Genomic DNA, 25,672 nt, shown 5'->3' with positions numbered 1-25,672 from the left:
AGACCAGTTGACTTCAACCTCTCAATACCACAGATAACTTCAAAAACAATTTGTAAGTAAATAATGCAAGTCTCCAAAATTAGTATGCTTACCAAAAAGCAACTATACCCAAAGGAAGCATTTTTGTTTGAATTTAATTGATTTAAGATTAGCATTCCTTTCTTTTGATGGCTGCATTATTGTTTACTGGGAAAACATTTGCAGCAAAACACATACTGCGTGTGTACCTGGGCATTGATATTCTCACTGGCAAATACTCTCCACCACAGGCCTAGATACATATTTGTCTCGGAGACTTGAACCACTGTGAAGGAACTGTTCAAGTCTCCCAAGGAAAGGCTATCTTTACTTGACAAGAACAATGCTGATTTTTAAAATCACCATTCAGAACAGTCCCAAGGATGTTCCTCGGTCTCCCAAGTTTGTAAACTTATGGAAAACAGTGTAAAATATTGTTAGGCAAGTGTTACTGTTAAGCTGTATTGTTGGTTCTTTCTTTCCTTATTTTTGGTAGGGAGTGGGGTGGAGAGTCAGGGAAGGCAGAGTGGATTGGTTGTTTAACAAAAGACTCTTTGTCTAGAAACAGATTTTTATTGTCGTAGTAATCTCTTTGTTGCTTTCTCATCTGAAAGAAGGAAAAGATTCTTCAGGGAATTCATATAATGCAGAGGATTCTAAGAAATGGGTGATGGATGCATCTGATCACTTTAGATTAAGGTTCTAATTTCCCTTACAGCTTTGATTTCTCCTGCGGTTTAAAGATAAACACACTCACACGCACATGCACACATACACACGCACACACATGAAAACACACACATGCACACATATACACTTTTTACAAACGTGATGCTTGTTCATTGTGGGAAATAAAAGTAAAGAGAAAAATAAAATAAATATCAACCTTAATCTTACCACCTAGAGGTAATTTTAAAAAATGTTTCTTCTGTTTATAACTTACAATATTTTAGTAAAAACAAGGTCATATGGGCTATCTTTTACATAATTTTTATTCATTTACTATATTAAATATGTTTCCATGTTCCACATTCTACATTAATATTTTTATAGAATCTTATCATGTGATGTACCAGTACCTTTGTCGTTAAACATTTAGAGTACTTCCAATGTTTAAATTATTTATTATTTATTTATTTTTGAGACAGAGTCTTCCTCTGTCGCTCAGGCTGGAGTTCAATGGCAGCGATCACAGCTCACTGCAGCCTTGACCTCCCGAGCTCAAAGGATCCTCCCACCTCAGCCTCCGAGTAGCTGGGACTACAGGTATGTGCCACCATGCCTGGCTAATTTTTGTATTGTAGAGACTGGGTTTTGGCATGTTGCTCAGGCTGGTCTCAAACTCCTGGGCTCAAGTGATCTGCCGTGGCCACCCAAAATGTTGGGATTACAGGTGTGAGTCACCATGCCTGGTTGAGTACTTCCAATTTTTCAAAATTTGATGTTATGGCAAATATTCTGGAAATTACAATTTGGAGTTTCTTGAGGATAAATGGGGTGTTTGAGTTAAGGGATATGCAAAATTGTAAGGCTTTTGATATGTATTATTAAGTTTCCATCTATAAGGGTTGTGCCAATTTTGGTTTATTCTATCGCCAGATGTGTAAGAGAAAGTGACCATTTCCCCATATATTTAGCAACACTGGGCATTTAAAAAATATCTTTGCAACCCAAAGGGAAAAATAGGGTGAGGGATAGACCACTTAAAACCTATGCAACACTAACAAGAACACTGACAAAAACATAATTGATAATGTTATGGAATGAATTGTCCTCCCCACCCCCATTCATACGTTGAAGTCCTAACGGTCAATGTGACTGTATTTGGAGATGGAGCATTTAAGGAGGTAATTAAAGTTAAATAAGGTCATAACGGTGGGGCCTTAGGCCTTAATATAATAGGACTCATATTCTTACAAAAAAGAGGAAGAAACACTCAACAGGTTGGCACAGAGAAAAAGTCATGTGAGGACACAGGGAGAAGGGGGCCATCTGTGAGCCAGGAAGGGAGGCCTCACCAGACGGCAAACCTACTGGCACCTTGATCTTGCACTTCCAGCTGCCAGAAGTGTGAGAAAATAAATTTCAGTTGGTTAAGCCCCCCAGTCTGTGGTATTTTGTTATGGTGACCTGAGCTGACTAATACAGTACCTTTGAAGATTCTTGGCAAAACTCAGGAATTCAGCATGTTTAGAGATTGCATTGGGGATATTTTATTTTATGTATTATCTTTTTGGAGACAGGGTCTCACTCTGTCACCCAGGCTGGAGTACAGTGGTGCCATCCCAGTTTACTGCAGCCTCTGCATCCTGGGCTCAAATGATCCTCCCATCTCATCCTCCCGAGTAGCCTCCTGACTACAGGCATGCGCCACCACCCCCAGCTAATTTTTGTATTTTTAGTGGAGACAGGGTTTTGGCATGTTGCCCAGGCTGGTCTTGAACTCCTGGGCTCAAGTGATCTGCCTGCCTCAGCCTGCCAAAGTGCTGGGATTACAGGTGTGAGCCATAGCGCCAGGCTTAGGGGATATTTTAAAAAGCACAGAAACAATAGAATGGAAATGCTGATTGGGGCACTGAGATGATACAGATGGAAGTGGAGCTCTGAGCTGGTGGGGCTGCTATTAAGGTGGGCATAGGAGAAAGTACATCCTACTACAAGCTGAGAACCATGCAGGTACTTATTTTCATGTATTCATTTTTAACAGCTAACAGGGTTTCTCCCTGTACAGCAGCTGAGTTGAGGGCTTTTCCTTTTATTTCCTCCTGATAGTCTGGCTCTCCTTGTCCAAGAAAAACCATGTATAAACTAACATGACTTGTATATTTTACTGACATAATTCCCCTATATATCAATCATGTATAATAAGCTCATTGGTGTTTTAGAAACCTATTTCATAGTAGAGGTGATTGTAACCACTCTGTGACCTCAGTTTCCTCAACTGTAATTTAAGGAGGTTGTAATAGATCAGTGAGTTTTAAATTTTGTGCACTGAATAGTACTTAAGCTACATCTTCCCCTCTCCCAGTGGTAGAAGTGGGCTGTGGGGATGGGGCCCATTGTGTTATATCGAGCTGGGGTGTGGTACTTCCTCCTTCCTTGCTTTAACAGAACAGCTCTGGCTTTAATTTGTTGTATATGATTTCATTTGGAGAAAAGGTCTGTTATGGATGAAATGTTTGTGTCCCTCCCAAATTTATATGTTGAAATCCTAACCTCCCATGTGATGATATTTTGAGGAAGGGCTTTGAGAGGTATAGAGGTCATGAGGATGGTGTCATCATGAATAGGATTAGTGCCCTATAAAAGGAACCCCCGAGAGCTCTCTAACTCTCTTTCTGCTACTTAAAGATACAATGAGAAGACAGCAATTTGCAAACTGAATGGGGGCTCTCACCAGAATCTGAGCATGCTGACAGCTTAATCTCAGATGTCCAGGCTCCAGAACTGTGAGAAATAAATTTCTGTTGTTTATAATCCACCCAGTCTATGCTATTTTGTTGTAGCAGCTGAACTAAGACAAGATCTTCATCTTAAAATGTTTAAAAACTTTAGGACAGGATAATATTAAGATTCCTTCTAATTGTAATTCTGTAATCTTTAAAATTGGCTTAGTACCTGTGTGGGCCTTTGCATACTCTATACTCTTTAAAATACATATTCTTAGCTATTATACACATTCCCTCCTTGACGTATTAAGTATGGAATGTATCATCACTCCCATTTCATATACCTTGAAGCATTATGTGACTTTCCAAAGTCACACACAATTAGATACAGCTAGAACTTAAACTCAGATCTTCTCACTCCAAACACCATCACTTTCCCACTACTACTTTGAGAACGAGCTAAGAGCTTTATCCTTATACGCCATAAGGAAATTAAGGAAAAGAGTAGTGATCTTAATATTTAAAACCTAATTAAAAAGTATAGTAAATTAGGAGTTTTTATTTCTCAAAAGCGAATTCTATAAGATTGCTTTTCTACTTATTTGTCATCCCTGTTTATCTTAAGAAGAGTTATATTTTTTGGATGTAAGGTCTAAAATGCCCATGACTATGAATCTAGTGATCTTGAATGGAAGGCCATCATTTTAGGATAAACACAAAATTCTATCGATAAGCATAGCCTAATTATAAGCACAAAATCGAAGGGAAAAGATCTCTTGAGCTTTGAACTTGCAAATTTACACTTAGGAACTGGCAAACATGTGGAATGCTGTTCACCTTTCATTTTTCTAGTCTTTATATCCCCTTTATAGGCAGTAACAAATTATGTTTTCCTCTATTCATTTCCATCATCTTTTATTTCATGAAAGATAAATTTTGTGGGTTGTCAAAGGATTTACCTTACTACACAAATTACAGCAAATTCTTCCACTTTGAACCTTTACCCCACGTGAATTGACTGGAAGAGGCTCCATGTCCTGTACTGTAGTCCTCCAATTTGAATTTCAGTCTTTTTGCTACAAAAAGATGGCTATCTTTGACCTAGAACCTCAGGTTGTACTGCTACCTGAATGTGGTTCTTAGGTGCTGCTTATGTATTTATTTTTGAATATAATATAATTGTACTTCAGCACCCCTAGTCATACTCAGCTGCAGGAATGGCTGTTGTTCCTTTATTTACTCTCTGTTGAGTAGCTAAGATGGCCTGTTGAAAACAGAACAGTCCCTGTCTCTTTCTGTATCTCTGTCTGTCCTTATCTTTCTGTATCTCTTTCTATGTCTCTCACCTCCTCAACAATTCCATTCCCCATCATGGATGCAAAGAATCTCAAAGAAGAAACCAGAAGCCAGCTCTGATTTGACATTTCTCTCGAACAGTTGGTAGATAGCATGGTGTGTGTCCCAGAGATGGACATATGTTTTCCCTTTCAAGGATTTGGGATAAGAAATAATCAAAGAAGACATTCCTTCATTAAGCTGAGAAAGCAGTAGCCTGAAGCCAAATATATCTTCTGATTTTATAGATGCACAAACCTGCAAAAGCTTAATGAAAAGGAACTTAAAAGGAGAAGATTATCAAATTGCTTTTAGGCTCCCTGCTTGATTACTTTTAGGTACTGAGTACATGTGCCAATTTGTGTGACTGATTTAATGGTTTCCTTTTATGACATTGTTAATCATAATAATTATAATAACTTACATTTGTGTAGTGAGTTCAGTTTTTAAAGCATTTTTATATCCATTACCTTATTATATCTTCACAACAAACTTGGGCAGACATGCTTGCCAGAAGAACAATCATTTTGCTGGGAAGGTCATCTTCTTTGAGGGTGCAATGTCAAGAAGGGATGCATGAGGAAGATTGAGGGAGGAAGGGGACACCAAGCCAGCAGGTCAGCTGAATTCCCAGGGGCTGGGCAGATGCCACCCTGCCCCTGCCCCTCCACATCCATTGGTGGGTGGTGGGGAGTACTCAGCCTTGACTTAATTTAGTAAAACATCACTTAAGCCCCACTGAATCACTCTGCTGAACAAAGGGTCATGCCCAACAAGCCAGTCCTGGATCTGCCACGTTTCTGACCCAGTGAACAACAGTGGGTGCTTCCTTATTTCACTCACTGAGAATATTCTCTGCATCATTTTTATTATTAATTGTAAGTGCTTCCTCAGCGAGTGTTCTAGCTCTGTCAGATTTTAGCTAAGAATTTACAGCTGAATTCCTCCAGAGTCCTGCAGGTAAGGCTGATGGTGATTGGTGCAATTCCATTGTTTTTCTTTCTTGCATCCAGGAGTAATATAACCCTGAATCTCTATGTGACCTGTAATTATTAGCCATGGAACACCAAAACTCTGCTTCATCCCCATGCCTCTGTAGGTACTGCAGTACAGTACATCCCCTCTTACAAAATAGCCCTATGACATACACAGGGCAACTACTGTTATTTCTTATTTGTAAATGAGAACACTATGGTAAGAGGTTATATAACTTGTTCACATAGCCAGTTTGGTGGAACCAGGAGCAATTGTCAGATCTTCTAGCTTCCAAATTAGTTATCTTTTCTACTATACATAAAATACGATTTGGTACCCTTTTCTCTCCCCCTACCTTTGAAAGTCTTCAGAAACAGAAAATGTTCTAAGAATTTTTTTTTCCAAAAAATTTCTCCTTATTTTGCCATTTCATAAAACCATTTCAGCTGTGCTTCAAGATCATTGAGAGTCAATGTGAGTGTGTGTGTTTATTATTGGACCTTCTTCCCAGTCCATAACACCTTCTCTGAGAACTGTCTCCCATGCATAGGGATGAATCCCCATTGCCATGCCATAGCACATGAGTTTACCTTATCATGGTGTATGAGTCTGTTCTCGCGCTGCTAATAAAGACATACCAGAGACTGGGTAATTTATAAAGGAAATAGGTTGAGTTGACTCACAGTTCCACATGAGGAGGCCTCACAATCATGATGGAAGGCAAGGAGGAGCAAAGTCACATCTTACATGGCAGCAGGCAAGAGAGCATGTGCAGGGCAACTCCCCTTTACAAAACCATCAGAGCTCATGAGATGTATTCACTCTCATGAGAACAGCACGGGAAAGACCCACTCCCATGATTCAGTTATCTCCCACTGGGTCCCTCCCACGACATGTGGGAATTACGGGAGCTACAATTCAAGGTGAGATTTGGGTGGGGACACAGCCAAATTATATCACATGGTTGCTTAGAAAACAGAGGAACCTAAATAGTGTGGAGCAAATGGTCTCTCTTGGAAATTTGGAATTGGAATGAATAGTTTATTCAGTTTTATGCCATATTTGAACTGAGGACAATTAAACTCTGGGGCTGTGGCCACCATGTTTGATCATATAAACATTAAGCAGATGCTAGAGTGAGGACACAAAAGTGGAACAGTGCAAGGAGAGAGTCGAGAAACCATGTGGCGCTGGAGGATGGGGGTGAGGCAGGCAGTAAGGGCTGGTTTCTTAACTGCTTTTTAGTTCCTGACTCCAGATACACAAGCAGCCCAGCCCCTGCATAATTCCTGTCCTTTGGTTCTATGAGGCACTTCAGGATTCTTTCTGATAAATTCCTGTTTTTGCTCAAGTTAAAGAGAGTTTCTGATACTTGTCACTCAAAGACCTTCAACTTGGGTGTTCTGGAAATGACTTTCTTGAATTATTCACTCCAAACATTCCCACCATGGGCTAGGTAGAGGAAATATCCTGTGCCAGCCATGACCACAGCTGTGCACGCCCTCAGCTGCACACATCCCTGGGTGAATGTGTCCCAAGCCTCCCCAAGTATACCCATCTCGAGGCTCCTCCCTAGCCAGCCGCAGACTGTATTCCTCAGCTGTGCCCCACCTCCCTTTTTCCCTCATCCTGAAGCTCCCCATGAAGAGGGCAGCCTCCAGCCTGATACTTGGATACTTTATCCTCCAGACACTCAGCAGTCATTACCTTGTGCTGCTGCATGCCTATTTCCTTTTTCTTTTGTAGTCACTGGGTTGCTCATTGTTTGCTAATGACTAGTTGGCAGGCGGAGAGAAGTGGCAGCCAGCCTGGCCTTCAGACTGGAAAGAAGCATGTTTTCTAGAGAGTGAAAACATTACTTGGTAAGAAGCATGTTCCAGCACTGAATATTTTTCTTTCAAAGTCCTGCTGGGCTCCTTCTGTCTCCAAATGCCTGCGCTTTCCTTTGTCACTTCCTTCCACCTCCTTCCCAGATGGAGACTGGCAGGGCCACCTTATTTGGGGATAGGGCTCCTCAAAGGCAGATGTAGGTTCCAGGGTAGACTCTAATATGATCTCGGGAAAGCAAAATAATTAGGGTGGTTACATTCATAAGAAAATAATAGGCTTGCATTTGGAAACCTTTGATACCCTTTCTGATTTTTCTAGAGAAAGCCAGTAATTAGCAAGGAATATAGGCTTTCTCTGACATCTACTCAAAAACAAATCTCCTAAGCCTTTAGAATGAACTTACCCTTGTCTTGGATTGAATGTTTGTTCCAGAGAGGGACGGGACTCTTGATACCGTTTCTTATCACCTTTCTGCTTAGCTGGGGAATGGTCCACTCACTTAATTCCTCCAGAGCTCCTAAAAGCTGGGCAGCTGGGACTGGCCCTCTGAGGCCAGACCTTGTCCTGTCCCGAGGGGGAATAATGTTGCAAACTTTGACAATAATGCCGATTATTCATTTATCACTCACTATATACCAAGCAGTCTTTAAAAACTTGGTCAAAATGCCGCTCAGGTCTGCATAGTTATCTAAATGCTTCTCAGCCAGAAGAGGGCGTTGCATTCCTGATTTTTTTTTTTTTTTCCTTTTAAACTAAATAGAAAGCTCTAGGAGAACAAATGACTTTTAGATCCACGCTGTTTTCTATGCATAAATAACAACGCGACAACAAAAAGTTCATCTGTTGAAGACAAGTATTCAAAAGGAATATTAGTAAATGCAAACCAGGCAGCTGGTATAGAACACGGCTCAGGGTACGAGGGTCCAGTGGCTTTTGGTGATCATATTTCTTATGCTGCTTGCACAGGTTCGAAATGAAGTGACAAAAAAAAAAAAAAAAAAAAAAATCCAGCAAGGGCCTCTTGCTAGCGAGGAGCAGTGGGTAATATATTTGTTTGTACTATGGGTTTGCAGTTCTACTAGAAGGAACACTTGACATTTTGATGAGTGCCTCCAGGGAGAAAAGGTAGTAACTTCAGAACTTAGTTTTAATTATACTAAGGAGATTACATTATTCAAAAGCATCCCACTGGTAAGGTGCAACATTTCCTGAAACAGTTTAGTGGAAAATGCCACATTAATCAGTTCAAAATTTCACTCAGAAGGCTTAATGATGGGAAAAGTTTAAAGTACCGTGGCACAATAATGCAGAAGGAAAGAAAAAAAAGAATGTTCACTTTGAGGAAAAGGCTGAAATAGTTGTGAGTCCCTCTTGCGTCTTTCCCCATTAAAAACTGGCTGGCTGTGCTAGCAACCAAGTAGGGATCAACATGCGGGACTCCACCATTCCTGAAATACAAGGACCCCGGAAGGGCAACCCACACAAGGTGAGAAAGGAAGTACATTATGTTCGGCCCAGCTGTTCTCATCTGCCCAGCAGTTTACTTCTGTGCTACTCTTAATTGGTCCAGGTTGGTAATGTATAGCTGCTCTTTCCCTCCTCATCCAGACAGACAGAAGAGGTTTGTAAATGTATAGTATTTGACACTAAAGGGAGATGGGCAAAATGCAAATCCTGAGCAGCCTGCCTTCTTCCCATTCTTTCCCCTAACTCATATTTTAATTACCATTTTCAGCCTGCAAAAAACTTGAACGAGAATCTGGCTTGAAAGTCAGAAAGGTTTGTACTTAACAGATAGGCTCTCACCTGAAAGGTGGCCAGCACACGTGGGCATATTGAAATGCTGAAAGACTGAGTGAGGATGGAGGTGGAAATTCAATCCAGATCTTAATGTTGGTAAATATACGAATCAGCCTTATGGCTAGCCAAAATACAGAAACAAACAACTGAAAAACAACGAATCAAAACCCATTGTCTTTGTGGGGCAGTAGTCCAGCAACTCTTTGCAAACAACTGTAGAGCCATAGCGGCCTCATGGCTGAAGCCAGTATGGAGCACTGGTTAGGGGACAGAAACCATCTCTGTGTGCATGTTTGTTACAATTTTTTTGATCCAAATGTCAGTTTAATTTCTCTTTAGGTCTCACCACAATGAAGCTGAAGTCCCTTGAATTAAAAATGAAAAATCGAGACGAAAATAGCATAGCTAAATTGTCTGGAATGTATGCCATGTGACATTTCCCTGCCTTGTTTTCTTTTCTCTGTTTCTTAGTAAATGTTCTAACAGACTTTTACTACATGTGTGCTATGGGCTCCCTCCTGCTTTTATGCGTCAGAATCACCTTTGTTTTTACCTTTAAAGCTCTCTGCTTCTTCCATGATACTTTTCTTCCTCCTGCAAGTCACCTTGTTTCTTTCCCTAAAGCAGGTCCCTGTGTAGCTTTACTCTCTGCATTTCTTTCTACGTACATCCTTCTAGGCAGCTTTCTCCGTTGAAGAAGTCTAACCTTCGTGCTCTCTGAAATGATAGCTTACTGTTCCGAATTCAGGAATTCTCAGCCTTTTTGTGGTAGGATTATCACATTCTTGCCCTATTCTTATTTTGCTTCTGAGATAATAGCAAAGTGATTTAATATATATTTATTAAAAAAACAGTGAATCTGAATTTTGTTTTACGATGGGTACAGAAGCCCATGAGATTTTAACAACACCCCAGGGAAACCAATAAGTATGATTTCACCATTGAAATTACTATGTTGACATCCTGATGTCAAGGCCAATACACAACACATGTGCTTGAAGGAAATTTAAGCAGGAGTGTTCTATCTCCTAGTCAGGGGCTTCTGCCACTGTCTAGGTGGTCTTGGAAAGTCATAGCTGGAGGTTGAATGCTACTTTTTCTTTTGTTTTTGTCTCGCTCTGTCACCCAGGCTGGAGTGCAGTGGTGTGATCTTGGCTCACTGCAACCTCTGACCCCCGGGGTACAAGAGATTCTCCTGCCTCAGCCTCTTAAGGAGCTGGGGCTACAGGTTCACACCACCATGCCTGGTTAATTTTTGTATTTTTTTTTTTTTTTTCAGTAGAGACAGAGTTTTGCCCTCTTGGCCAGGCTGGTCTCAAACTCCTCGCCTCAAAAGATCTGCCCACCTCGGCCTCCCAAAGTGCTGGGATTACACACGTGAGCCACCGCGCCTGGTCGGATGTTACTATTTTATGTTATTTTATTTACTATCACACAAAATCCTTTGTCAGGTTATGGGCCAATTCTTCAAATTCAATTGAATGGCTTTGATAAGCTCCTCATTTGTCCCTTCTTGTAGCCCTGGGACCTGGACCTGATGCAGCAGCAGGGATTCTGAAACCCAGGGGGTTATCATCTACTTTCTTGTCTTGAATGTTGTTTTCTAGTTTTAGGATTCCAAGTGCTGTTCCACTCTTTAAATGTGATGGACTTCACCTCTGGATTTTTAATGGAACGAGTTTTCCAAGCATCATACCCATACTCTAGTCTTAACAAAAGGGGTGGAAGTTTAGAACATAGTATTGTAAGAAAATTAGAAAACAGAGTGCTAAACATTGAATCACCTAGGAATTGTGAGAGACAGTGGCAGGCTATCGTCAAACTGACTTGAAATATTGAGTGTTCATTAGCTGTTATAAAATTACATAATTATACTGCACACTTTGACATAGTCTTCTTTGTGGGTGTAAAGTAGTTGACTTTCATTTGACACAAAGATTCTAGTGGCAGAAAAAGGTAAAGGACACCTCATCCATCCGTACCCTATGCAGGAGAGGGCCTGGGTTTTAATTCTGTAATTGTCTTTCCCAAGTCCCTATTCCACAATTACCTTTTACGACTTTATGAATTGTTGCTGGCTTTGACATGAACTGGTGCTGGCTGCAGGCCTGACCTCCTCCTGTGCTGATAATCTCTTCTTTTATTATTTTTTCATCGCTTATGATGTGGTTTCACTATCACCATAATAATAATAATTTACTGAGGCTTGTTATCTGCCTTTTATTGGGCAGTGCCGATGTATTCCTAAAAACTGAAGCTAGGAAAGCTCTGGCCTTCTAAAGACTTCTTCCATGACTTTGGGCTTCAAAAACTTCTACTTCATTTACACTATATGTATTAACCCTGCCTGGTTCCATCTGTTGTCCTTTTATCCCTTCTTCCATATTCCAGCTTATCCTATTATTTGGTTTCTCTAGAGCCATACATCTGCCTTTTGCAAATACTCCTAGTCGTGAGTAACTGTTTCACATGATGATTAATTCAACAAAATAAAAAAATATTAGAAATGCATTTCTTTTTGTAAATTTAATCAATTTAAAATTCAGAAAATTCTACACTTATAACTTCCTTTTAAGTGTTCATTTATTATTGCAATGCCACTGAATGGCTGCATTACTTTTTTTGCTAAAAATTCAGAAATTTTAAAATTAGCAAGCTCTGTAGCTGTGGTTCTCAGCATCATTGTACTTTAGAATCACCTGGGAACATTCTAAACTCAGTTGCCCAAGCCACAGGCCCAGAAAATCTGATTCAAGTCAGTTGGGTGCTTAAACAGCCTTTTAGAGTAACTGAAAACCACCGCAGAGAAATATGAGGCTGACAATGCTAACGTTTGAACAGACACCAATATTGAGCAACAGACATTGGAACTGGTTCCTTTTGTCTTTCTTTGACTGATCTCCTAAGCTTTCATTTACAAAATGTGGTTTGCCTCATGGTATATCTTAATAGTATATGCCTTATGAATTTAAAAAGATTTTATTTAAAATAAGAAAACCATCATCTTTAAAACAAAGAGATTTTCATCAATGTTCTGTCTTTGAAATGTAAAATTTTTGTCAGTCATCTTTTTCATTTTGACAGCAATTCTAACAAGAGTTTACATTTTATTTAGGAAATGGTTCTTCTCAATTTGGAGCAGCTATGAAAATATTTTTTTAAAAGTACATACATGTATGGCCTGGCAATTGTATTTCTAGGAATGATTCCTGTAGAAATACTTGTACATATATATGAAGATTTTCACAGGAGCATTGAGTGCTATGGATAATACAAAACCAAACTACGGCAATAACAACAAAAACCAAAAGGACTATTATGAGGGCAATGGTTAAGTAAAATTAGGAATTCAGTGCAATGGAGGAGTATGCAGTTTGTAAAAATGAGTTGTGTATTCTGTCTTGGAAAGGCTTCTGTGGTAGATATTAAGTTAAAAGAAAAAACAAGAGGCAAAAATCTGTAAAACTGTATGATCCCTCCATTTACTTTTTTGTGTAAGAAGAGGACATTGTGTGTGTGTGTGTGTGTGTGTGTATGTGTGTGTGTATGTGTGTAAGCAAAGGCATACAAAAGTCTGGAATGATAAGGAATTCTCCATAATGCTAACTGGGTTTTTTGGAAAGTGTGATAAAGGAGAGGGGTAAGGAAGGGCTTGCTTTCACTGTATTACTGCATCTTTTCCACTGTTACTGCATCTATTTCCTCAACAAGAATACATCATCTATGTAATTAAAAAGCAAAAGGAAATGATAAGCAGGCAACCAAAAGTGGAAACAGCAATTCTCAGAGCCTCAGAGTCAAGCTGGGTTTTATCACCGGCTCCCCAGAGGGGCAGACACACCACAGGTGCAGTCCCTGGGCAGGACTAGTGCAACTCCTCCCAGATACCCGGGTCCCACTGGCTGATTCCTGCCCATACTCTGTTCCCTCCCACTTTTCCAGACCAAGCCAACAGCCCCTCACAGTTGCCATACTGGCAGCCTAAGTAGCAGATCGGCCTCTGGCGCCCTGCGGTGAGTGTAGCCCCGTGCTGAGCCTGTACAATGCACAGGGAGGGGTGCAGGGGTTGGGCTTGGCTGAGCTTGGCCCTCTGGGGTCAGGGGCGAGGATTTCAGAAATGAAACTGCAGGTAATATCTCAAAGCTGAGCGGGCTCTGCTGCTACCCTCATAGATATAGGAGCCACATACAGGTTTGCCCAGAGAACTAACAGAAAGGAGAGACTGGCTCTATGAGTTTTAAGTCTTCTATTTACTTCTCATTATATTCTACTGCCAAATTTCCCAATGTAATGGTCGGTTTTACAGAATACTCATTCTACGCCAGGCTCTCTAAGTATTTTGCACATATTATCTAAGCTAATTCTCACAACAACCTACGAGGTAGGTGACATTATCACACCTATTTTACAGACCAGGAAATTGAGGCACAAAAAAATTAAGAATTTTGCTCAAAGCCATACAAATGAGTGGCAAAGCCAGGATTTGAACCCAAGTTCTCATTACCCTCCTGTGTAGACCAAACTCTTCTTTTCCCCGAGATCTCCAATACTTTGAAGCCAGAAAGCATTTGTGAGGACAAAAATGAAGCACTGCTTATGAATGCATGACTCCTTCCTTTAGGAGGAAAGAATCTAGAATTTAAGGTTAATAAGGTAATGCTTTATTATACAAGATTTTGATGGAAGCAATCTATAAAAATATATGTAGGCACATCCATTTACTTAAATTGTAGGTTCTCATTGCCTTTTGTTTTGATAATATTTTCTTGGTATTTTACTGAAAACTGCCCCTCATAAATTGCAAGCATAATTTGCCATATATAAGAAGGGCAGCATTGCACGGTGGTAAAAACATGGAGACAAGTCAGATTCCCTGAATTTGAATCTTGGCTTCAGCATTCATTAGCTGTGTGACCTTAAGCAAATTACTTAACTTCTCTGTGCCTCAGTTACCTCATCTGTAAAAGAGTAGTCCCTATCTCTCCGGGTTGTTATGACAATTAAATGAGTGATATTGCTAAGCACTTAGAACAGTGTCTGGCTTGTGGTAAGTGGAATAAAAATACTTATTAAATAATTAAAATAATTAGGAATAAAGTACAGCACTACTGTGTGGAATCTAACCCATTGATTTTTTTTTTTTAAGGTGGAGAAAAGAATAAAGAAACCCATATTTCTTGAACTTCTCCTCTGAACCAAATACAGCCTTTAGAATTTCCAGGTAAGTAAAAACCTTCTTCTAATTCAAGCAGATGATCATGATTCTCAAGAAATGGATTCTGGCTCCGCAGAGAGAGCCAGGCTTAATAACAAATGAGAAGCAGGCCCCAAAGACCGCATGCTCTCAGCAAGGTTCTTGGGCTTCTGGGGCTTGGGGCTTGGGGGCTTTGGAATTTGATGCTCGCTCAGTGTTGTTAATGTGGCTATTAGTCTTGAGACTTTTCTGCTTCCACAGCACACACATCCGTGTTTTTCTATTTCAACCTTCTCTTCATCTCTTCCAAATTTCATACTTTAGACCTTACCCTCTGTTTCTGTTGTGTTTCACATTCTTAGAGTTGGCATTATGGTTTTAGTGTCTTTAGGGCATTAAAATCCATATTTCACTGTAACAAACAGGAGCAAATCTTAAGATCTAGCTGGAATTCTTTTCAGCCTTACCCCTATTGATGTTTGCAGTTTCATTTTGCTCTAATTGTCCCTGGTGGTGCAAATAGGCAGGAACTCAGCCTTCACCAATGGATGCTGAGCCAACGACACCACCTTTTTCTGCCTAGAAAATAGAATGGATCCTGGGGCAAAGATTAGCTCCTTTCTAACGCTAAGCAGAGTAGGGGGAAATTATAATGCCTACATTTTACCTTTTTCTGTTGACTATTGCTAACATCGCTGCTTCTGCTGTTGTTAGTAAGAGGCTTCTTGAGAGGGAAGAGAGAGCAATGGCCATGTGAAGACAGTGAAACTACGCACATGTAGTTTGCAAAACCCTTTGGGATCATTCAAGTTGAAAAGGAGCTATAAAATGTAAAACAGCATCATTAATAATAATACTTTTATGATTGTAAATAGAAGCAAGTAAAATCAAGTTGCTTGGCTCTCTGAGCTTTTCACCGGACCCTAAACAGCTAGGCTATACCCTTCCTCTCTTTCCTCTTTATTGCTCATCTTGTATTCTGTAACACGTTCCTCTGCAATTGCCATAAGCAAATCATTGAACCCATAGGAATAATCCTGGGAAGGTGATGTCAGTGCAAACATATCTGTGGCTGTAAAGACCAGCCATGCACAAAGACCCAAAGGACGGGACTTACAGATATGAAGTGCTATATCAATAGCAAATACTGCCACTAATTGATAATAACAATATACATGCAAGGCCCAAAGCATGTCGGGAACTACATTCAGAGAGCTAGGCAAAATGAATCAGGCCGGGAGAAACTGGAAAGCTGGAGTTCTGAGCTCTGTCTACACAGCAGGACTACACACCAAAAGCACTGATTTCATCTTCCGTGTGATATCATGACAAGTTCTAGTGAGGGTGTTGACAGGTGGTTTATGGTCCTTGGCTTGGTTTGGTGCTAAAAACAGACTTTATCCTCACTTGGTAGGATTATTTAGTATAGTAATTAAATGATAATGGAAGATACAGAGAAAGCAGGTCCCTGAGATAACTGTTAAAGAGCATTAGCTATAGACGGTTCTCCCTCACCTTCTTGTCCATTGAAAGCTTCCTTAGTGATATGCCCTCTAAAACAGGGGTCCCCAACCTCCAGGCCATGGACCTATACCGGTCTATGGCCTGTTAGGAACTGGGCCACAGAGCAGGAGGTGAGCGGTAGGGGAGTGAGCATTACCGCCTGAGCTCCGCCTCTTGTCAGATCAGGGGAGATTCTGATTCTCATGGGAGCCCGAACTTTATTGTGAACTGCACATGCAAGGGATGTAGGTTGCATGCTCCTTATGAGACTAATGCCTGATGATGTGAGGTGGAACAATTTCATCCCAAAACCATCTCCTTCTCCCCCGTCTATGGAAAAGTTGTCTTCCACGAAACCAGTCCCTGGTGCCAAAAAGGTTGGGGACCTCTGCTCTAAAATTCAGTGGGGCAAAGCAGCAACCTTTGGGATGTCAAGAGAGAGGAAACATGGATTAGTATTTCAGGGCATGGTTGGGTCTGAATTCTGGCTTCACTGCTAAGTAGTTGGTAACCTGGAGAAAGTTATGTTACTTTTTTTGCCTCAGCTTTCTTTCTGTAAAATACATATCTCATAATTATTTGTGAGAATTAAATGAATAATATATTTAAAAACCTAGAACAGTGCTTGGCACATAGAAACATTCACTAAATATCACCTATGTCTTATGCCCATCTTAGATATTCTGAGAGATGTTTTGAAGTGCCCCAAATGGACACAATCTGCTTTACCTGCTTGATATGCAATCAGACCACATCTGTTTTTAGGATTCCTATTAAATGTCTTAAGCTGCCTCATCCATCAGAATGTCCCGCTTCCCTGGCTTCACCCTTCTATGATAATCTTTAGGAGCCTTGATTTTCTAAGGCTGGATCTTTGCTGTTATATCTAGAGCTCAGATGTGATCCTATGGGTGAGAGCGTGTTATAACTGCCACTGGAAATTTGCTTCTGCTTGGGTTAATGCATCACAAAAATGCAGACACAGAGAAACCAGAGTAGTCAAAGGGCCCCTTGACTCATCGTTCCTGAGATCTCAGTGTGGCAATGTCTAGGGGAAGTGGCTGATGCCTGGAGCTCCAGTGGAGTCTCTCTCCCAGCTTAGTCCTTCAAGGTCTGAGGAAAGATCATTCTCCACCTCTCATCCATGACTGGTCAGGGGAATTTCACATCAAATTTGAGCAGGCACTTCAACTTCACGGATTGAAAAAAAAATTCACCCACCCAGTCACTTTCTCAGAGCACAATATAGGTGTCCAGAGCCACTCTTCCTTTGACTGACTGACTTCATACAGGGGATGGCCCCTGACTCAGTCTCTTTCTATTCCCATGTTGATTTTAGTTGAGTAGTCTCATTGTGTTTGCCACTGATCCTTGATCAGGTATATCCTGACGGGTTTTAATGACTTTGAATCTCCTAGAGGGAGGTTGGGGGTCTCATCCTGCTATGGTCTGGATGTTTATGTCTCCTGCTAACATTAATATGTTGACATTTTAACCCACAAAGTGAAGGTCTTAGAAGGTGGGGCCCTTTGGGAGGTGATGAGGTCAGGAGGGTAAAACCCTCATGGATGGGATTCGTCCCCTTATAAAAGAGGCCCCAGAGAGCTGCCTTGCCCCTTTCACCATGTGAGAAATAGGCCCTCACCAGATACCAAATCTGCCAATGCCTTGATCTTGGACTTCCCAGCCTCCATAACTGTGAGAAATAAATTTCTATTGTTTATAAGCCACCCAGGCTTTGGTGTTTTGTTTTAGCAGCCCCAAAGTACCAAGACGCCTCCCTTTTATTTAAGAAAGCCCATAGTATCATACACATTTGCCTACTTCTCCCTAGCTCTGAATGTCAACAATTTCTTTATCAGGAAAAAACAAAATTCTGCCTTACCAGATACTCTGTTACACTCTTATTTTAAAGTCTTTGCTTTGCTTGATAATTGCTTTTGTGGATTATCAGTAGTGAGGGAATGTTCTGAGAGCTGTCGACAAAGTGTCAAGTAGAATGACTGAATAGCACATATTATTTCCTTGTGACCTTTATTTGATTGTGCATTTGAACAACTCTACTTTCTCAAGAGAAGGTAAAGAGGAAAAATATTTTTCAGGAAGAGGAAACATCTTTATCTTCTACAAATATTTATTGAACACTACTACAGAATTTTGAGTCTATTTAAAGATAGTTAAAATATTTTAAATATTTCTCGGTATAGGAAAATTAACACAGAGAAAAACAGACTTTATTCAGTATTCCTTGGAAAGTTCATTTTTTTGCAAAAGTCGAAAACCATTTAAGTCATTTAAGTGTTTCAGTTAGTTACTGCTGCACAATGAACCACCCCAGATGTAGTGCTTTTAAACAGTTATTTTATTACCTTTCATTACCTATTGGCTGACTAGGCTCAGTTGGGAGGTTCTTCTACTCCACATGGTGTCAGCTGGGGCTGCTGTCATCTAAAGGCTCACCTGGTTTACAATGTCTAAAATCCTTACTCATATGACTCTCAGTTGGTGCTGGCAGTAGGTTGGGAGCTTAGCTGGGGCTGTTCACAAGAATGCCTTGGTTCTCCTCCCTTTGGCCTTCCCATGAGGCTTGGCCTTCTCACAGAATGGCACCTGGGGCTGAGAGTGCTCCACGGGAACAAGCCCTAGTGTGCAAGTACTTTTTAAGCCTCTACTTTATCTTGCTTGGTAAAGTCCTATTAGCTAAATCCATTCACATGGTAAAGCCCAGAATGTTTGTGGGGACTGAACAAGGATGTGAATACTGGAGGCTTTATTCACTGAGTTTCCCCAAAGTGACAGTTAACCACATCCAGGAACTTCTGAATTCCAAGACAACAAAATGGCAGTCTTAGAATTTTGGAATTGGGAGGGACCTCAGAGGCTTCACAGTTCAGCTTCTTTGTTTTACCAACAAAGAGACATAGACCCAGAGAAGGTGATTTACTTGCCCAAAGTGGCAACTCAAACCTGGGCTGTTCATTGTAAAAACTATTTTGAACCATGCTGTGTGCAGGCATTGTCCCTACCCTGGGCAGGTGTAGCCTCTGCCCTCACAGAGCTCACTAGTCTAGAAGGCAAACCTGCAGTTTTGATCTCCTGGTACCCAAGGCTGCATTTTAACCATGGTACTGCACTGCCTTCCCATTGTTAATTAAGTGTGTAATGTCTATATTAAAGTTAGTTCCAGATTCTAATTTATGACACAATAGTTGTATTTTAATGTACACTTTATGGTACATTGGAGTCCCTCAATAATCAACACATGCCCCTCTAATCCTGCCTGGTTTATAATACTTGGAGAAAATTTTATTATTTTAAACAATTATATGGATTTATAGCTACTGAATCTTTGCTTTTGTGAAATATTTTTGTTCATGTCTACTATTTACATGAAGCCAAGTCCTTTTTCAGGAATACAACCTCTAATTATAACATTGTTCCTATGGGAAAATGTAATTTGCTTTTCAATGATCCACTTTATGACATGGTCTCCAGGAATGTGCTGTTCTGCAATAAAAACCAAGTAGAGGCTCCATTCTCTGTAGCTTCTTGCCAATTGCCTGGCATGATAGGAACAGTGCTTATAAAGTAGATCTTATCTTCTGATGGACATGAAATCTGAGTTAGGCAATAATGACAGATTTCCCTGAAATAGTGTGGGGGATGGAAAAGGAAACAAAATAGGAAATGGGAAGGTTCAACAATTCTCTCTACAGTCATCCCATCCGTCCTCAAGTCCTGTCTGTTGTTTAGTGTCTGTCACTGGTTCTTCTTTCCTAGGAATCAAATGTCATTACAAAAATGAGTGATCAGTGCAGTAAGGGGATGCACGTGTGTGCTGCTTGATGACAAGACAGACTCTGGGTGGTGTTGGAAGGCTTCCTGGTGGAAGTGATGTTTTAGCTGGCATCTGAGGAACGAGGAGGAGTGTTAGCCGGGTGAACAGATGCTTTGCCTAGGATCTTCCAGGAAGAAGAAACAGGATATGTAAAAAGCTAGAGGGAGAGAGAACATGAACATGATAAGTTCAGTTTGATTGGAGTGAAATGTATGTGTGTGTGGTGGAGAAGGGTGTAGGGAGCAGGAGAAGGGGGATGGCAAGGCCTTAGAGTGGAGGTGCATGCAGGGATCAGGTCACAGGGGTTCACATAGGCCTTTTAAAGGCATGTGGACTTCACCTTTTAGGAAATGGGACAGTATTGAAGGGGACAGTGACCTGATGCACCTTCTACTTTATGAACAACTCCTCCATTGTTTGGAAGATGAATTGGAAAAGATCAAATTTGGAACTGATAATCTTGTAGAGAGAAATGGCGACCTGGCTAGCAGAGGGAAGTGGGGGTGGAGAGAAGTGGAGTGGGTGTGAGAGAGATTTAGGCAGCAGAATCAATAGGAGCATTGAGGTATTTATGGAACTTCCAAGTCAAGAGACTAAAAGAGCAATGCAGCTCTGGAGAGAGGTTCAAAGCTGGAGAGTTGAGTCACCATCATGTTGATGGAACTGGAAGCTATGAGAGGATAAGATTGCCCAGGAGAGTGGGAGGATAGGGGGCTAAGAGCAAACCCTGGGAACAGCCTTTCTCAGGGCCCAGCCCTGCCTTCCCTGGGAGGGGTGTCCTCATTCCTCTGCTTAGGGATAATGTATACTGACTTCCATTTAACATGTGTTTGCAAAGGACATGTGCTAACCAAAGTACAGTATTTTTAATGTAAAGCTTCCTAACCAAGGGTTATAGCACTGGGGCCAGACCCAGTCAACTATTCTCTTCCTAATGAATACTGTCATCTTCTTGACCTTGGTTTTCCTAGGTGACTGCTCTGTTCCCTTCCTCATCCCCTTTTCTGCTTGGCCCAAAATATAGTCTAGAAAATACCTCATGATTAAAAACAAATACTGCACTGAAAAGTAAAGGATCTCAGAAGAAATTAAAATACAGTTCTCCTCTTCCCTCTTAACTTTGGATACTAGATATGAATCTTTCTGGAGCCCAGAGGCCAAGGTCTCCTACAGAATCCTGATTCAGTTTCTCTCCTTGGCTCCTAGTCTGCAGCCTTTTTGCAGGGGCCTGGTACCTACGCTCCTGAAGACAGAAGTTTAGTGTCTCTTCCCTATCTGGAGTTCAGGTTACAGCCCACGAGCTCCCAAAAGATGGGGTCAAGGAAAGCTTCTTCTATTACTCTCATGCCTAGTCTCCCTGGCCCCTCTCCCTCCATAAATGTAATATGCTCGGACAAATTCTACCCACAATAAAAAATATCTTTATATAGTGGAGCCAGATCTTTCCTGGGGATTAGGTGCTAAGTGTAAGGCAAAATCTGTGCAAGAAATTAACCTTGGAAACCACTTGGAGGAGAGCTACATTGCAGATGGATGTAGCTTTCTCAGCAAGCCTACCCAAACCTGCTGACCCTTCAAGTCTGGAGTAGATTCCCATTTCCTTAGCAGAACATCAGATGAAGTAGCTGTCCTGGGTCTAAAGTTTATTTTCACTTCAGAATTCCAGTGGCCACCGAGAGATGCTCATGCTGTTTAAGGCATGGAGACTGGAAGCTGAGGAGAGAAGAGCAGAATCTCAGTTCCTAGCCTCTCCTGAGGCCTAAGTGCCCACACTTTTTGACTAAGGTAGTTTCTCACTCTGTCCCTGCCCCCCTTTCTCCCTCCCTTCCTCTCTAGTTGTCTATAGGTAGAGTCCTGTGCATTTCATGCAAGCCTGACTAGATGGTCTCAGCATTATTGCGCAAGGCAGCTTAGCTGCTGATCGTCAAGAACTTCGTAATTTCAGTAATAATATATTCAGACATCTTTGTAGGACCCAAAAGCTCATTAAGTGTTTTTTTCCCTCCAAAAAAGGCAATATGCTTTCAAAGGTAAATTCAAACCTCAGTCTCTAGAGAAACAGAAAATCTGCAGGCAGCTTTGAAATATGGCCTCTTTGCCCACTCCAGTTTTTGGCCATGAAGAGGTACACAGAGACAAGCTCCTACCCCATCTGGAGAAACTGGTTACAGTTCCCCCACTTTCTAACCTTCAAATCCTAGATCAGGAATCCTGAGCCACTCTTGACCTTTAGTGCTCTCTTTCCCTCTCAGTTATTGTACCTCAAGGTGTTTTCTATATTTTCAGCTAACATTAAGTATGTCCTATGTATGTGCCAGGCATTGTTTGTTCTAAGAATGACAGAACAAAGTATATTAACACATTTACTCCCCACAACAAGCTTATTAGATAAATACTATTATTATCGCCATTTTACAGATGAGGAAACTGAAGCATAAATAGGTGAAGTAACTTGCTCATGTTCACATTGCTATTCATGTCATCCTAGCACGACTGAACTAGGATTTAGACCCAGAAAGTATGATATTAAGGCCTGCGCCTTAAATCACTATGTTATTCTGCCTCCCATTTGTTATTTAGGTGTGGACTCTATTTCTAGCTGGTTTTTTTTCTATGGGTGTTCCTTCTCTCTCTGTTTATAGCCTCCTTCAGACATCATGATATATACATATTTCAACAGAACTGAGGCTTATACCTTGGATCAAACAGGAACTCAATGAATATTTGTTGGATGATAAAATGACAAAAACCAAAATATAGATCATTAGAAATGATATGATTCTCTGGATGATTTTGGGTTTACTAAAAGATTTCTTTTCTCTCATGAGCATAGTAATAACAGATGAAAAAACACTTGAATATGATTTGATTCTTGAGACCACCTCTATGATGTGATTCTCAAGACACTTCCATGGATGGAGCAGATATTACGCCTATTTTACAGCTGGGAAAACTAAGACATACACAAAGAAATTTATGACCTACCATCACAGACAGTGATGGGTTGGACCCAGGGCCTAAGGCTCCTGACTTCTAGCTCTGTTAATTTTCCACTTCAGATTTTTCCCAAGTGTAGTTCAATCTAATGCAGGCCACAGTTTGGCTCTGGGTTTGTGCATCAGTGAAACCAGGATGTTGTATTTGAATAGATATAAATGGTGACATTGAAAGGCCTAGGGTGGGACTGGGTGGGAGTGAGACACATGCTAATCACACAGTGGACTCTCAGTCTGAGAAGACGACAAGTTGCTCATGATAATCATGGAAACAGGTTTAAATTAATGGCATGTTTATTCAGTGGTGTCTTCATCTATTGTTGGAAATCAAATGGTGGACAAAGGGTAAATACCAGAAAATATAGGCAATCATTTAAGAGAGAGAAGAAAACATAGAGGAGTTGGTTATGGGGAAGTTTCCAGAATGTAAATCAGAGAATTTTTTATTTTGGACGGAAAAGTTAAAAAGAGGAAGTTTGTTCTAAACGAAGTGAAAATTCAAATTCAAGCCAGAATTTCAGGAGGTAGGGCTCATTTGGAAACTCCTTTTGTTTATAACGTAGGTTTTTCTCCCCTTTATGAAGCAGATGCTTATACAAGCATTACTAGTGTTGTCAATAACACTGTAACATTTGCCTTCAATCCCTTTGTTGCTCAGGGAACATGTTGGGTTTCGGCACATTTAGCTTTGCCATTTACTTCACAAATTGCAGCTGGGTAGTGCTAAAACTAAGTTGATTTTACTGAGAATAAAAATTGAAGAAAAAAAATTCTCCTAACAACCTTTCCAGTAATCATAGGGCTGAAATGCTTTCGAGTGTGTGTGTGTGTGTGTGTGTGTGTGTGTGTGTGTTTTCCAAACAACTTGGTTTCAGTACAATGATGCTTCAATAAGAATCTTTCTGCAAATCTAATTCAAAAGGGAAGGCTTTGTTGTTATTAAACACAATGGCAGTTTGTACATCTCCACATCATTATGTTGCTTCTCATTATGGTAATTCATTTGCTTCTGCTTTGTATGGATATCAAATAAAAATCACTCTCGCTCCTGGCAAGTGATTGCATTATGGAGACACTCTGGGAGCCCAGCTAAGCGGTGCTTGGTGTCATAGCAAACACAATTAGCAAAATGGCATCCAGAGTGGCTATATGGAGTTGCCCTGTGGTGAATCTCTGCATTTTCTGTTTAGTGGGGCTGGAGGTTACTAGGCTTTGCCATGTGCTTTCTCTATTCTCATCTCTGTATCATTTTCTATTCAAGTGGAACAGCATGAGGACTTTGTGTGGATTTTATTTATTTTTTCTGATTGGCTCTTCCTCAGCACTCAGTAGGCTCAGGGAGCCCTGGGTTATTTTGCCCTCCGAGGAGCTCACGTTTCTCTAAAGAAGGGTCAAAGATAGCATCACCAAATGTTCACTCTGATATCATTGTGGGTTTTTTGGCCTTTTTATTCTTCTTTATTGCCTTTTTTCAACAATTAGAGTATTGAATTTTGTATAAGGTTAAAAAAAACCCTTATGGGTCATTATTAATAGCTCTATGTTAAAAAGAAAACAATTTAACATCACTCTCTGTAGAAGAATTTGAGGTGGGGCCATTGCTGCAAGCTGCAGAAGGCTACTCAGTCAATGATGGATTAAGGCTACTCAGTCAATGTTGGATTAGCCTAGATGGGATTGACAGCACCAGCTGCTTCTTTGAGATAAGAGACATAGATACAGTTCTTCACTGAGCCATGAAGAAAAAGAGGGCCTGGATTTGGTTGGACTGGTTCTTTTATGTGGAGGCACAGGGTTGTGCCTATGTTTGTCATTGATACTTGGCCTATAGTGTTCATTTTCATTATTCTGGGAAGCTTTTTCTGATGCCTCCAGGGAGAAATGGTTACTCTGCCCTCTAGGCCACTTGTGGTATATACCTGTTGAGTGTCTTCCCAAAAGCCATTCTAATTTCTGCTTCTTGCTCCTCCTCCTCCTCCTTTTTCTTTTCTACTTCCTTCCTGATAAAATCTGTAGCTTTGTGCCCCGGGAATGATCCCGTCTTAGTTCTAAGAGGTGATGCTTCATCATTGGTTTAAGTTTATCAGGGAATCAAAGTTCCTCCTCTAAGTAATTCAGTTAGGCATGGGCTTGAGATACAGTTCTGGCCAATGAACCTTGAGGGGAAGTTTGCTGGGGGACTCTGGAAGAGTTTTTCTCTCTTGTTAAAAGAAAGGCATGTTAAGAGAAACCATTCTTTTTCTGCTGCTGCATGAGGCTGTGACGTCCAGAGCTGTGGCAGCAATCTTGTGACAATTAGAGTCAACCATGAAGACAATATTCAACATGCTTGAGAATGGTCTAGTGGAAAAATAGAACTAATCTAGATTTTTTTTTTTTTTTTTTTTGAGACGGAGTCTTGCTCTGTCGCCAGGCTGGAGAGCAGTGGCGCAATCTCGGCTCACTGCAACCTCTGCCTCCCGGATTCAAGCAATTCTCCTGCCTCAGCCTCCTGAATAGCTGGGACTACAGGCACACACCACCACGCCCAGCTAATTTTTGTATTTTTAGTAGAGACAGGGTTTCACCATGTTGGCCAGGATGGTCTTGATCTCTTGACCTCATGATCCGCCTGCCTTGGCCTCCCAAAGTGCTGGGATTACAGGCATAAGCCACCATGCCCAGCCAATAATCTACATTTTTGATGTGTTGTTGAGTCACTGAATTAGCCTACCTTAAAATCTTTCTACCTTTGGGCTGCCTCTTTTTCTTCTTCTTTTTTTTTTTTTTTTTTTTGAGACAGGGTCTTGCTCTG

At 40.8% G+C, this 25,672-nt stretch overlaps 1 long non-coding RNA gene and 1 pseudogene across 1 annotated transcript in view; one reads left to right on the top strand and one right to left on the bottom strand.

Moving 5' to 3' along the window:
• On the bottom strand, positions 5,136-5,417 carry RN7SKP157 (RN7SK pseudogene 157; annotated as a pseudogene).
• The window catches only part of LOC124900610 (uncharacterized), a 170,779-nt gene continuing 159,581 nt past the window's right edge, over positions 14,475-25,672 (top strand). Inside the window, exon 1 of the long non-coding RNA XR_001742671.2 lies at positions 14,475-14,568. This is a non-coding gene — a long non-coding RNA (uncharacterized LOC124900610). The remainder of the gene's footprint in view (positions 14,569-25,672) is intronic.

This window comes from Homo sapiens, chromosome 5, assembly GCF_000001405.40.
Source record: "Homo sapiens chromosome 5, GRCh38.p14 Primary Assembly".
NCBI lineage: Eukaryota > Metazoa > Chordata > Mammalia > Primates > Hominidae > Homo > Homo sapiens.
This window is presented reverse-complemented; position numbering and strand designations above follow the sequence as displayed.